The sequence below is a fragment of the Homo sapiens genome, chromosome 13, assembly GCF_000001405.40.
Source record: "Homo sapiens chromosome 13, GRCh38.p14 Primary Assembly".
Classification (NCBI taxonomy): Eukaryota; Metazoa; Chordata; class Mammalia; order Primates; family Hominidae; genus Homo; species Homo sapiens.
In genome coordinates this window covers 66856039-66869842 of record NC_000013.11, presented here as the reverse complement: position 1 = coordinate 66869842, position 13804 = coordinate 66856039, and the positions used below count along the sequence as shown (strand labels likewise).

The window sequence follows — 13804 nt, the reverse complement described above, 5'->3', positions numbered from 1 at the left end:
CAGTCTTTTAGCTACTAAGGAAATAGTAGTGAACAAAGTAAGAAAAGGGTGACAGGGAGTGTGTATATGTTTGTGTGCTGGGGGTTGACGTGGTGCTGTTGACGAGGTTTCTCAAATTCAAGTGGAATGAGCACATACTTCACCAGCAATAAAACACCAGTCTAATTTTTTAACAGTTCTTTTATAGCAACTAAACATAAAGACACGCAGAATAAGTCCTCAGATTTTTGCATCAATATTATCATTGTTCAAAATAATTATGTTAGAGAACAGCATATGGGCAAAAAAGAAAGATGGGAAACAATACAATTTAGAAAGGGAACATTCCAGTCTTTATAATCTAAGAAATCTATGTTTAAATCCCAATTCTTTTGCTTCTGGTGTAAAACCTTAGGAAATTTTTTTGACCTCTCTTCAAAGAGAAGAGAAAAAGATGCTTCAGTTTTCTTCCCTAGAAGGGTTGCAAAAATAAAACAAATAAATACAAGTAGTATTTAGCCTACTGTAGGCCTTCAAGAAATGCCAGTTTTGACAATGATGATGATGATGAAGTTTCTTTTAATGCAAGGACACTATTAAAACTCTTCATTGCTACTACTGTTAATTGTTAAAATCAGCTTTAATTTTGTCACCTTTCAATCACCTCTTCAAGTGTCCCATCTTTAGCGAGGGGCCAGGAACTGTGATGAAGGACATCTTACTATAGGCAGTCTTGAACCATGACTGACTGAGAAAAGATACTGAATGTATGCTTATTTTCATTGAGTAAACTCATAAAAGAAAATATTATGTGGTTTAATATAATCTGAATTTCATTGTATAGTCAGTTGAGCCAAACCTATGAATTAATAAATTTTTCTCCCACAGCATAACACATTTGCTTATATTACATTATTATATACAGTTCTTAAGCGTATATTTATCATGCTAGTCTGTAAGTTACTCAAAGATAATCATATTTTTCTCACGTTTTAAAACTACAATTCCTAGCAAAGTGTCAGGCAAATGGTAAGCATGTAATATCTGTTCACTAAGTCTGATATACAACTAATTTTTCCCAACTTCGCCTTGAAGTGAACAAAATTTACCAACTAGGATTCAATCTACTCTTGCCATAATTTCATGTCATATGTCTCTTAATCATTGTACTTTACTGCAAATTTATTTCACTGGCAAATTTCACAGGTAAAGTATTTATCGTTGGTTTTTATTTACTATGCGCTCATGTCTGTGATGTTCTTTCTTCACATGATGACAGATAAATAGTATGAACACCTTCCACAGAACACCCAACACATTTTTTTTCTCAGTTCTTAATATTTTTTTGCACATGGTTGATGTTCCTCAAATATTTATTAAAAATATGTAAAAGTACATTGGTAAATTTGTGTAAATGTATCTATGAGAATATGAAAACCACAGCCAATGATTATAAATGATTCTAGTATTTCATTATAATTGTATATTATCTTCTATAAAAAATTTGATGATGACTTGAAAACGAGTTAGTCAATGTTATCAAAATTCACCATGTAAATAAATGTAATTATAAAACTAATTATAGAATTTTGTCATGGTAAAATTACCTAATTTGCCCAGTTGTACTGTTATCTTCATAGACTAGTATTGAATTTAGCCATGCTAAATTTGTACTGCATATTACATTTTAGCAGCAGTTTCAGGAACCCAGTATTAACTGTCAGATGTCACTTTATATCAGTGAAATTTGAATCACTCATTACATTTCGTCATTTATATTATGACAGTAAATCAGTCTAGGAAACCTATTTAAAGAGATTTTAATTTTAGCTAATTTATTATTTAAATAATATACATTTCAGCAATCTACCAATTATATTTATATGAATACATACTATAAAGTATGCTTTTACTTAATCAGAATAAAATTAATTGAAATCCACATTAATTTGCCCATCAACTTACAAAAAGAACAGGAGGCTTTTTATGCTTGATTTTAAAAGGAAAATGAAAAACAATGACAGAAGGATAAAAAAAAGGATTTTTTTCAAAAAGTTCATAACACTTGTAGGGTCAGATTCTATACTTGATCCCAACAAAATGATTTACATTATAAATTCACATTATGAACATTATAAGGTTTTTGAAAGGATTACTTTTTGGTAATAGCAAAACCCAAGTTGTCAAAGAAAGATGATAGGTTAATATACATCCCTTGATAATACATTTTGGTTGTATTTTTCAATAGCATGGGTTAATAAATTATTTTTCGTTCCACTTTCAATTATTCAGCACGTTCTATGTTTTTAAGGTTTTTTTCATAGCTATTCTCATCAAACATACATACCTCTGCTTTATCTTTTGCATTTGATCATTCATATGAAAATATTAAATTATGTCCTTTTCAGTAGCTCAACATCACACACTGCAGCCTCCCTAAAGGGAGGATATATTACTTAGAGATAAGCAATTAGGTATTTTAAATATTTAGATACCCAAATATCATTCTACAGTCTTAGTCTCTCTTATTGAGACAAATTGTTCCCTGTTTCTGCATCCATAAACATCACCAGAGAGAACATTAATAATCCTTAGATATGTGCCTCAGTAGAAACTGGGAAATAGTATAATGGGATTTTAACTTAAATGAAGACCAACTGTGAGTAACACTTACTTTGCAATGGATCCTTAGGACCTGAGAGATAACCACTAACAAGAGAATGATCATTTATCTTTTAGTTTTCTCTTTCTGTGTGAGTTCAAGAATAAAAAGCTCAAAATACAAAACTGAAAGAGCAATACAGCCCTCAGCGCTATTAATTGTTAAATGCCAAAAAAAAAAAAAAAGAAAGAAACTGATTTGGTCATTAACATAAACAATTTGAAAACCATCCACAGTTAGTGTTTGGTTTTCCAGTAATAATATGCCATTTTGTTAGAAGAATTGTGCTTTCTTATAAGACTTACTGTATTTCAGAAATGTCAGAAATATATCTCTCTACTGTGAAATGATGGTATCCACATACATGTGAGCAAGTTTTGTTTTATTTTATTATTTTATTTTATTGAGACAGAATCTCGCTCTGTCTCCCAGGCTAGAGTGCAGTGGCACAATTTTGGCTCATTGCAACCTCCGTATCCTGGGTTCAAGTGATTCTTCTGCCTCAGCTTCCTGAGTAGCTGGGACTATAGGCGCTCGCCACCACGGCCGGCTAATTTTTGTATTTTTAGTAAAGATGGGGTTTCGCCATAGTGGCCAGGCTGGTCTGGAACTCCTGATCTCAGTGATCCGCCTACCTCAGCCTCCCAAAGTGCTGGGATTACAGGCGTGAACCACTATGCCCAGCCATGAGCAAGTTTTTGTTTTTTTGTTTTTGTTTTTATTTTTGAGTCTCGCTCTGTCCCCCAGGCTGGAGTGCAGTGGCGCAATCTCAGCTCACTGCAAGCTCTGCCTCCCGGGTTCCCGCCATTCTCTTTCCTCAGCCTCCCGAGTAGCTGGGACTACAGGCGCCCGCCACCATGCCCAGCTAATTTTTTGTATTTTTAATAGAGACGGGGTTTCACCGTATTAGCCAGGATGGTCTCTATCTCCTGACCTCGTGATCAGCCCACCTCGGCCTCCCAAAGTGCTGGGATTACAGGCGTGAGTCACCGCGCATGGCCGAGCAAGTTTTACATTTTTGTCTCCAACATCATTTATTGCCCAGACAGAGTGATGATGAACAGGTTTAAAGTGATTCTGATTCAACAAATATTGTGTGCACATATTTATTCCCGCCTTTTTTTCTCTCATGTTCTTGTTTCACTTTTCTCCCACCATAGCAAAGCAATATGCCACACAGCTTCTATTCACAATTTGTTCTTGTATAGAAATGGAAAAGTTTAATAAAAATGAAAATGTGTGGTAAACGAATGAACCTGATACAACGAAATTTAAGGATAGCCTTGAATTCTACACAGGCCATATACATTTCTCATTCAAATTATTTGTAAAAACAGAAAAGGTGCATTTTCAAAAAACTTGACAACTTAATGTTACTACATATAAATTCTGTTACAGCTGCCATAATTCAAGAGTTTACTTTGGAAGTAACTTGAAAGAAGTATAAAATGAAAATGATCTCTACCACACTGGAATGAGGCTTTACCATAGGACAGTGCGAAGGAAGCGGACATTTCCAATGCATCCCACATCCCTCCCTGTAATGTTCATCAGGCATACCTACACCAGAGGGAAGATACATTTTGTGAAGTGTCTTAGCAGAGACCCACTGGAAATTATCAAATGTCTATTATCTAATACTTCTGACCAATGGAAAAATCAAATAATTAAAACTGCCCCTGTAAAAGAAAAGCTGAAAAGGATCAAAAGATATAATTTTTCCATAGGTTCTACTTACTCGAATAAAATTATTTAGTCATTTTAGTAAAACAAAATTCAATTGATAATGACAGCATGAAAAGAAATGTTTAAAATTGTAAAGAACAATTTGACTATATATAAAAATAATGAAATACAACATCCTGGAATTGAATGGCCTGTTGGTACATTATTAGTATTCTCTTGTGAGGCAAATGTGTCCACATACCTGAAGTGTCCATTAATGCCCATAATGAGTACAACGGATTTTAATGTGCCTGTAATATACTTAAGGGTCAAATATTTTAACCACGTCTAAAAATTCATTTTAAAATTTTTGGCCATGTTTCCAAACTATTTAGACAGTATCTTTTGGAAAAGAATAAAACTTTATTTTATGAAGCAAAAACTTCATAAAAGTATGAAGATTCTGTTTTAGGGATATACACTGTTAATTTTTAATATATTTGCAAAACTTAATGAGAAGAATTTGATTTAAAGATCTTGGCATAATTCTTTCTCTTGTATTTGTCCTCCTTCTGTAGTTCTCGTCTTTCCTGCAGGTTCTCACCACGGCAAAGTGATTGAGAACATGTGCTGGGCTTTCTTTCTTAGTACTTTTGTTCAACACCTGTTCATTTTTGCTACTTTCCAGGCAACTGGTCAGCTTTCAAGTTTATTTGCATTTTTAAAACGATGCACAAAATAAAACACCCTCAGATCTGATTAATGCTTCCTAGTTTCACTTCTAAAACAAACAAACAAGCAGTGCAGTCCAGCCACCTGCAAAACACTAAATGAGCCTTGTGATTAGTGGGAAAGAGAGAATTCCAGAGAAATTTTGGGGGCAGGAAAAAAGTGGGCAGAGTTTGACTATGGAGAAAATTAGTTTGCTCACACATTTTGGATAAAGTGAAATATAGCAAACATTCTAAATGTCCAAATACATTTTGAAATGTGTTTTGATAGTGATGTAATGAGATATTGAGAGTAAATCATCCACAATCACATCTGTTATTAAATAACTTAAAGGATAACACAACCACCAAAAAGAAGCCTATGCAGATTTTAGAATAAAGTTGGTCTTGTGTCAAAACATCTGATATTTGCTTTTGTCTTTTCACGCCCCCCACCCCCCTTTTTGAGGAGAGGGAGGTGCCTGGCATGAACCTCAGGAACTGAATGGTTCTGAATGACAGAAGAACCTCAGAAATATTGCCATTGTGACCAACAAAATGAGACATGCCATGCAGAATGTTTTCACTATGACTTCTCATAATCCTATGAACTATCTTTATATCATAATGTCCCATAATATCTGATATGCTCTGGCTGTGTCCCCACCCAGATCTCATCTTAAATTGTAGTTCCCATAATTCCCATGTGTCCTGGGAGGATAATTGAATTATGGGGGCAGTTACCTCCGTGATAGGTAATGAGTTCGCACAAGATCTAATGGTTTTATAAGGGGCTTTTCCCCCTTTTACTCGGCACTTGTCCTTGCTGCCACCATGTGAAGAAGAACGTGTTTGCTTCCCATTTCACCATAATTGTAAGTTTCCTGAGGCTTCCCAAGCCATGCTGAACTGTGAGTCAACTAAACCTCTTTCCTTTATAAATTACCCTGTCTCGGGTAATTTATAAACGAGCAGCAGGAGAACGGACCAATACGATGTCTTATAGTACCAAAATTTCCCTAGAAATTTTGCATGTCACAGTTCATAAAGTTACATTAAAAAAATTGGTATTCACTTTGTGAGGCAGATCACTTTGGGCAGATCACGAGGTCGGGAGATCAAGACCATCTGGCTAACACGGTGAAACCCCGTCTCTACTAAAAATACAAACAAATTAGCTGGGCATGGTGGCAGGTGCCTGTAATCCTAGCTACTTGGGAGGCTGAGGCAAGAGAATGGCGTGAACCCGGGAGGCGGAACTTGCAGTGAGCCTAGATCCTGCCACTGCACTCCAGGTGGGCGACAGAGTGAGACTCCATCTCAGAAAAACAAAACAAAACAAATAAACAAAAATGGGTATTATACCAAGTCAGTTTCAAAATATACTTAATCATACGTTTTATTTAAACAACTGAAACTCATAAATCGATTTTCTGGGATTTGTTTAATGATCATTTATTATTTGCTGGGCAGTATACTAAGTGCATTTTCCATGCATTATCTCAATTAATCCTCACAATCAAATTCTGAGGTAGTTACTATTATTTCCACTGCTTTACAGATGAGAAAACTGAAGTCCAGATAGATTAGACAACTTTCTAAAAGTTTCATTACCAGAGAGAACAGATCCAGAGTTAAAATCTAAGCAGTTTTTATTTGTATCTTGCTTTTGTTTGTTTATTAACACTACTGCAGCCCTATTGTACATTTAAATTCGCCTCTGAGTACAAATATTTACATATTTTAAAGTTACCAACTATTTTTAAAGAAATAGAATGTTATGTACTTGAAAATGTGACTTTCAAACATTCCACTGTTAAGACACATGCAATATTATACAGATAAGAATTTCTTACCTGTGATGGACTGCTAAAAACAAACACAAATTTTTATTTTCCCAAATATCCAAAATATATATAATACATTTTTCAATATTTAGTTTTTCTTTTGTTATTAAAAAAAATTATGCTATCTTATAACTATTCTTTCTACTGGGGTGTTTATTAAAATGACAATATACAGAATAAGTGGCACATACCTATTAATTGAGAATGATAGACACAACAATGATGAGTCATAGGTCATTCTTTTTGAGAAGGGGACCCTCAACTGAAATTCAGTAAATTAGGAAAAAATGGACTTCATTTCCTTAGCAGTTTACATTTCAGATAGTTTAAAAAGAGTTAATAAAGAATAAACAACTAATTTTCATTGCACTACTATAAAACTAGCAAAAGTAAAATACATCTATCCATATCAAGTTAAAGCAGGAGTTTTAAATTTAACAGGCATTGGGGTGCAGGCTGTCTACACAGCAGAAGAATATGGGAGTCCGTGATAAGCAATGATGCAGGGAATGTAAATCTTTTTGTTCCTCTATAACAGGGAAATAGGTGCTCAGTTAACAAAACAGTATTTTTCTCAATTTCTCGATTCTGAAAATTGCTAGACATATCATGCTTTACAACCCTACACCCACACACTATAGACATATGCCACGAGTAGATGCTTTGCTGACTTGAAGGTTTCAGCAGTGATTCTTCTTGCATGCACTTTGTTTTGAGCTAATAGAACACTCACAAGATAAGAAAAAGAAATGCTTGGACATGCACCATCCCTTTCTCCAAAGATTGTTAGGCACTGGTAATTGAAGTTTGAGAACATATTATTTAAATGACTACAAAGCTAATGTAAAGGTAACAGAGCCATGCTGCTAATACTGTTTAGAATAATATTGCTATGACTAATGATGGCATATTGCTGCAAGTTCAATGTGACACAAACAACAAATGAGACTGTTAAAGTCCATAATTAGGTTATGGAATTCTCATTTTGTTCTCACTTTTGCAGCAGTCTTTCTTTTATAAAATTGGGATTGCAAGAGAAAAGAGAGGAGATAAAAATGTATAACAATATTTTTTTTTCCACAAGGGCTTGAAACCGTCAACTTCAATACAGATGTGAATTTCTTTCTTTGTCCTGTGATTTTGTTAATGGTAGTGTATGAAGTATAATGTCGGCACTATTTCATTTCTCTGAAAGTAGTGCCATTTTATTTATTTATAGACATGTAAAGCTATGGAAATATTAAAATATTTTTCTTAGAGTTAAAAATAATGGGTGAGTTGTATGTAATGGAAGCAACATGGCCCACTGGAGGCATTTACTGTCCAGAGTGGAATAGCCTTTGACTGATTAAGTGGACAGACTTTATTGACTACGTTATTAAATATGAAATCTATTAAACTTAAGTACAACCTTTTCCCCCTTCAAATGTTAACATCAGTGCCAGTGGGAGAGTAAAACTTGTGACATTTAGAAAGGAGAGAGAATCAGATGAGATTTACCAGAAAGAGGATATATAAATAATTGAATAGGAATGTCTGTAACAATGCAGCTCTTTTAGATAATGTGTGACAAAATATTTCTCTGTTTTCTGATGGGGAAAAGTTTCTAATAGAGGGCTCAATCAGTTGTTCCTTAGACACTGCAATCAGGGTAATTTTGGAGGCTTCCTTCCAAGTTCTGATTTATCACCCCAGTATCCCAAGGGCCCTCCATGTGATTGCCTTGGCACTGATATTTATGCTGGATGAACTGAAAGTGCCGCACTTAACTCGATATTATCCTTCCTTGGGTCACAAGAGTACTATCTTTCAAGTACATTTGGGTGATTTTCACACCACCCCATATCTCACCTACACTAGAGGTACCTCTTCTTTGCAACTTAGAAGGAGCCACTAGACCTGTTAATAAAATTCAGCAAGTCTCAGTAAACATTTCTTTTCCCAGCTGGGATGCCAGTTCAGAGAAGAGGAAAGTCAATGCACTCAAGTGGGATAAATTAGTGCATTGGCTCATAGTACCAGCTTCACAGCTGTGTCATGATTTCCTTTAGGGGTCTAGGAAAATGTAGCTTTTCATGCCTGATATTCTTTCTATTATTGTTATCTATCCTCTTCAGAGGTGTAAAGAAATGACCTTTCCCCTGGAAATGCCAAACTGCTTCTTTCAGAGAGACTGCTGCTGCTTCTAAAGAGTTAGACCTCTGTTTCGCTCTTTTGAAGAATCTGCCATTGCAATCACAGGTAAAGTACTTAGCAGGAAGAAGACAGTGCCATGAGTCTCTAAGGTAGGCTCAGTCTCACAACAGGACACTGGGGTTTGCCACTGCCTCAGCGTGTTCAAGCTGCCAGAGCACTTCTTGCATGCTGATATCTTTAGATAGCAAGACCTTCACTGTCCTTGTTTACATTCTTAAAGTGAGGCTTTTCTCTCTGCTGAAAGTTTGCAAGCTGACAGCTTTGGAATTTGAATTTTTCCATGTCTTTTCAGATCAAGTGCTGTGGCACTGACGGGAGCCTCCCACAATGCCTCCTTATATTAGCTTCCTGTAAAATTGGGACCGGAAACTGGTGTTAGCTATGTTCACCAGCAAGCTGAACCTTGGGACAAGGGTAGCAGCTCCCCTCCACCACCCCTCCCCTCCCCCAGCCAATAAAGCACAGAAGTGGCATCTTTCCAGAAGCTGCTGCGAATGCTTATATAGCTTTAGGTAGAGTGAGGTCTTATGGACTGTGGGTTCATTCACATAGCTGAAGGTTAGGAGGGAGAAGATTCTCCTTTTTATCCCTAGCCAAAAACAGACGCCACTCAGGACAGGCTTTGTTAGACTGGAGTGGACACTGGCATTGTTTGGAAATATAAACTGTTTGCTCTGGCGTCCTTGACTCTATTACCCTCATTTCATTTACATAACATTGAATGATTGGCCTACTGCATAATTCCCTATATACTTCTTTATAACCCAATCTACCTTGTAGTGCAACAGACTGACTAACGACCTAAAAATACAGCAGGCCATAATAAATCTAGGGTGCAGATGTCTGTAAATTTGTAAAATTTGAAAATCCATTTCATTCAAATGGCTTGTGCTTTCTTAGGTTACAAACAAGTTAACTTTTGTATTAGTAGGGGTGCATTTCCTTAAAAACAAAGGATTACAAAGCAATCAGTAATTATGTGACAATGACACCAGCATGAATTCTCCGCATGTACCTTCTTCATGGATTATATAATTGCTCTTATACTGTATTTTCTCAAAATAATTTTAAAATTTGCATTTAGAAATGCCTTCACACTCAGGTTAATATTGATACAGGAAGAAATTACTTCATTTAACTTTGGTTACTTTATATTACTTTACCTGAAACAGTATTATATACTGGTTTAATCACGAAGTTTCTTCACTAAAGTTGCACTCAAATGATTTTTGTGCCTGAAAACACATGCAGACTTTCTTTTCCTGTGAGCATTTAAATAGTGAATGTAAAACCCATAGATAGTTTTTATAAGATTTTGCATAAATACAATTAATCAACCTAACCTAAATTTTACCCTTGAACTGTATGTAAGCTGAAGTGTTAGTTAAGAGTTGGCATTTAAAAGGCCCTTCTTGTTCAAATACAAACACTAATAGAAATTAAAATGAGGAAATGCCAACCAAAGGAAAGATGAATCATACTACCTATTACTACACCAAAAAGAAAATGTTAACAGTGGTGGAGTAGAGTCTCGAGTGTCCCGCAAATAGAAAGGTCTAATTAGTGATTGGGAGAAGAAAGAGTTTCACTTGTATTTTCTACTTTCAAATGTGTAAACTAACATGACAGCCATTTGTTGTTCTTTATAAAAATCAGGACTTACCAGGCACACATGTTCAGGAGGGTAACATGGACAGAGATGTAAATGAATGTCTTTGTTTTCAGATGTTTTCAAGCAGCTGATATTCAGGGCACTGAACAGTCGACTTCACAAAGCTCATTTATACCAATAATTACTGTAAAATATTAAATAAAACTATGTAGTGATGTTGTAGACATCATAAAATTGATATCAGAGGAAGTCGGAGAGACAACAGAAGGGGCTTTATGAGGCATTAAGTGTCTGTTGTCAGCCAGACATTCTTCTAAGCACTGTGAAACAAATATCAATAGAAGTGTGAGGAGTTGTTACCTAATCAAGGAGTCAGACATGTAAACAAATAATTACAACTTGTGAGAATTATTACAATTAATTTATTATTAAATTCGTATCAATAAAATAGAAATTTCTAGGAATATTCAGAAATACTTAGCAAACTCTGTCTCATGGTTGCCATGATATGAAGGTGGCAGGGCAGAGAAGGCTTCAAAGATATGTTAAAATTTGAACTGATTCTTAAAATATAAAAGAGTATTCAGGAAATAAAAGGGGAGGAAGAAGAAGGAGAAGCTAGGAAATTCTACACAGAGGGAAATTATGTGCCAATGAGTGTTAGGCTTAATGTAAGTGTAAGTAATCAAAGTGGCTGGCCCAATGGTGTTAGGTTTGGACATGGCACAAGATGGATTTGAAAAGACAGAAATACAGGCCACTTGTAACCTTGTATGTCATCTAACGAATTTGGACATTTCATCTGTACCACAAGAAGAACAATGACGTAATTTAAGCAAAGTTTATAAGGATCAAAACTGATTTCTAGATAAAATAAACAAAACGAAAACTCAAGTAAGTTTTTGAAAATAACTGTCCTATTGTTTTTATCAGGTTTATGGAGCTTGTTATTTAATGGCATACTCTCCACAATGTAATCTCTAGGAATCAAAAGAGAAAAAACAAATCAAATAAAAATGGAATAAATTTACAATGTTTAAGCTTTGGGAAGAGGCAGAGGTGACTTTAGTAATTTAATTGTGTTATTTATCTTAGTAAGGATGCTATTTTAAAGGCACATTAACTAATTTGATGAAAGGAAGATTCCACAGAGTCTAGTCATCCCAGCACTTTGATAGTGGGATGCTTCCTGGGTTATTAGGCGCAAGGTAGGAGATAAGCAGCTCAATGATTGAGGGCGTGTTTTTTGTTTTGTCCCTGGCTTTGAGGCTTTGGGGATACTGCTGTGACAAAGCAAATAATATCAGTATGTCTATGAATTGGGAGGAAAAGGTGCTGTACTTTCAGTGTGTGGATCATATTTTGTAAGAAATAATTATGGGACAAAATGATCTATGAAGCTTTCATGTGTACTACATTTCATTTCCCTGTCAAATAATACTAACCAGTCTGAAATCACTCATTTAGTCGGAATGGGATGATTATACATAGAAAAAAAATATATGAATATACAGCCCCCAAATAAAGAATGAATTTGTTTAAACTTCTGATGAAAAATATGTACTTTATATTAGGGTATCAATAGGTCAATATGAATAAAGTTCTGTATTTGTTTCCTGGTGACCTCTAGACATTGTTGCTTTTAGCACACCAATTTTCTGCAATGTACAGGTAGAGCACCTACATTTTCATAGACTGCTTTCTTGTTTCTTCAGATTCTTTTTTCTTACCTCCTCCACTCTCACTCCTTTGCACACTTATTGCTAATCAATAAGATGAAAACAAAATTCTTGACTGCTCATTTATTTTCTAAGGGATTTCAGTAAACCAAATGTACCAATGGAATAATGCTTATTTGCTCCAAGGTAAATTAGTCCTTTGAACTTCAAACGTGAAACATACATTATGGATTTATAATAAAGCACACCTCTCTCAACAGCCTCTGACCTCTTCAAAGACTTTGCTATCAAATATTGTTAGCATTCAGGGACCTTAGAAGTTAAGATAGATGCAGAGAATTTAGCATCATGGCTAGAGAAATTTAATGGGCGTGATTAAATTCTTGAAAAATAGAAAGTTAAATAAAAAATTAAAAGGACTAAAATAATACAGAATTATTTTAAAGTGAAGAGGTTGATGGGTTAAGATGTTGAATATTATACAGAGACTGACAGATTCCTTATACTCAATTATGTGGTTTTTGAAGAGAAAGACTTTATTTTTATATGAAAAAAGAAATGTTCAATAGTGTATGCCCCACCTACAAGGTAAATCCATTCCTTTTCAAGGTAAAAAGACTTGTACCTGGTTATTAGGGTATATGATTGTAGAAACGCTATTTTGGTGAAAGCACATAAGTATAGATGAGATTAAGTGATGAATATCATACGTTTGGCATAAGATATTATTAATATCAATGCTAAGACGGTTACTGAAAATCCATATTTACAATAAAAGTTTTATTTTTATAACGCCATGGTAGGCTTACATCGCCTACTAATTTGTGGGCCTCTGGCAATAGTGCTAATCAAAGGGACAGGGTGGATAAACCTCTTATAAAAAATTTTAATGGGGACTCTTGATTTTTCAGAGGAAGGATAATGAGAAAAAACACATATCCTGTGTCTGAAAAAACACTGGGAGAAAATTAACTTCCTGTTATTGTTGCTACAGGTTTTTAAAAATACTTTCAAGGCAGAAACTATTTTTTTCAAAATAAGTTATTTATTGTGGTTGATAACCTATTTTCAAGTGATCAGAGAAACTAATTATTACTTTGTTCCATATTTATTGTGCAAGGCTCAGTGTCTTACATGCATTTGAACTCCCATTGCTTTCATAAGTTGAAAAGAGATTACCTGCAACTTTCTCATAGCCCCTTGATGTGCAGTGTGTTTTACTCTTCTTTTACAGTCTCTAAGATGGTAATAAAAACTTTAGTTTAAACTAATCTATTATCTGTCAAACCTGCCTCAATGTGTGAGAAATTACCAAGACACTATCACTTTTTAAGGTTCCTATTTATATGCGTTATTGAAGTTAGTAAATCATTTATTATTATGGAAAGTAAAAGGAATAAAGAAAATCTGAAGATAAAACAGTATTTATTGAAGTAAAAACCTATACCTATAGT

General features: G+C 34.8%; 1 protein-coding gene and 1 long non-coding RNA gene across 6 annotated transcripts in view; one reads left to right on the top strand and one right to left on the bottom strand.

Annotated features, from left to right (window-relative positions):
* The window catches only part of PCDH9 (protocadherin 9), a 927503-nt gene that overhangs the window by 360494 nt on the left and 553205 nt on the right, over positions 1-13804 (top strand). The gene's annotated exons all lie outside the window — the stretch shown is intronic.
* The window catches only part of PCDH9-AS2 (PCDH9 antisense RNA 2), an 89863-nt gene that overhangs the window by 45189 nt on the left and 30870 nt on the right, over positions 1-13804 (bottom strand). The window contains exon 2 of the long non-coding RNA NR_046527.1: positions 10723-10855. This is a non-coding gene — a long non-coding RNA (PCDH9 antisense RNA 2). The remainder of the gene's footprint in view (positions 1-10722; positions 10856-13804) is intronic.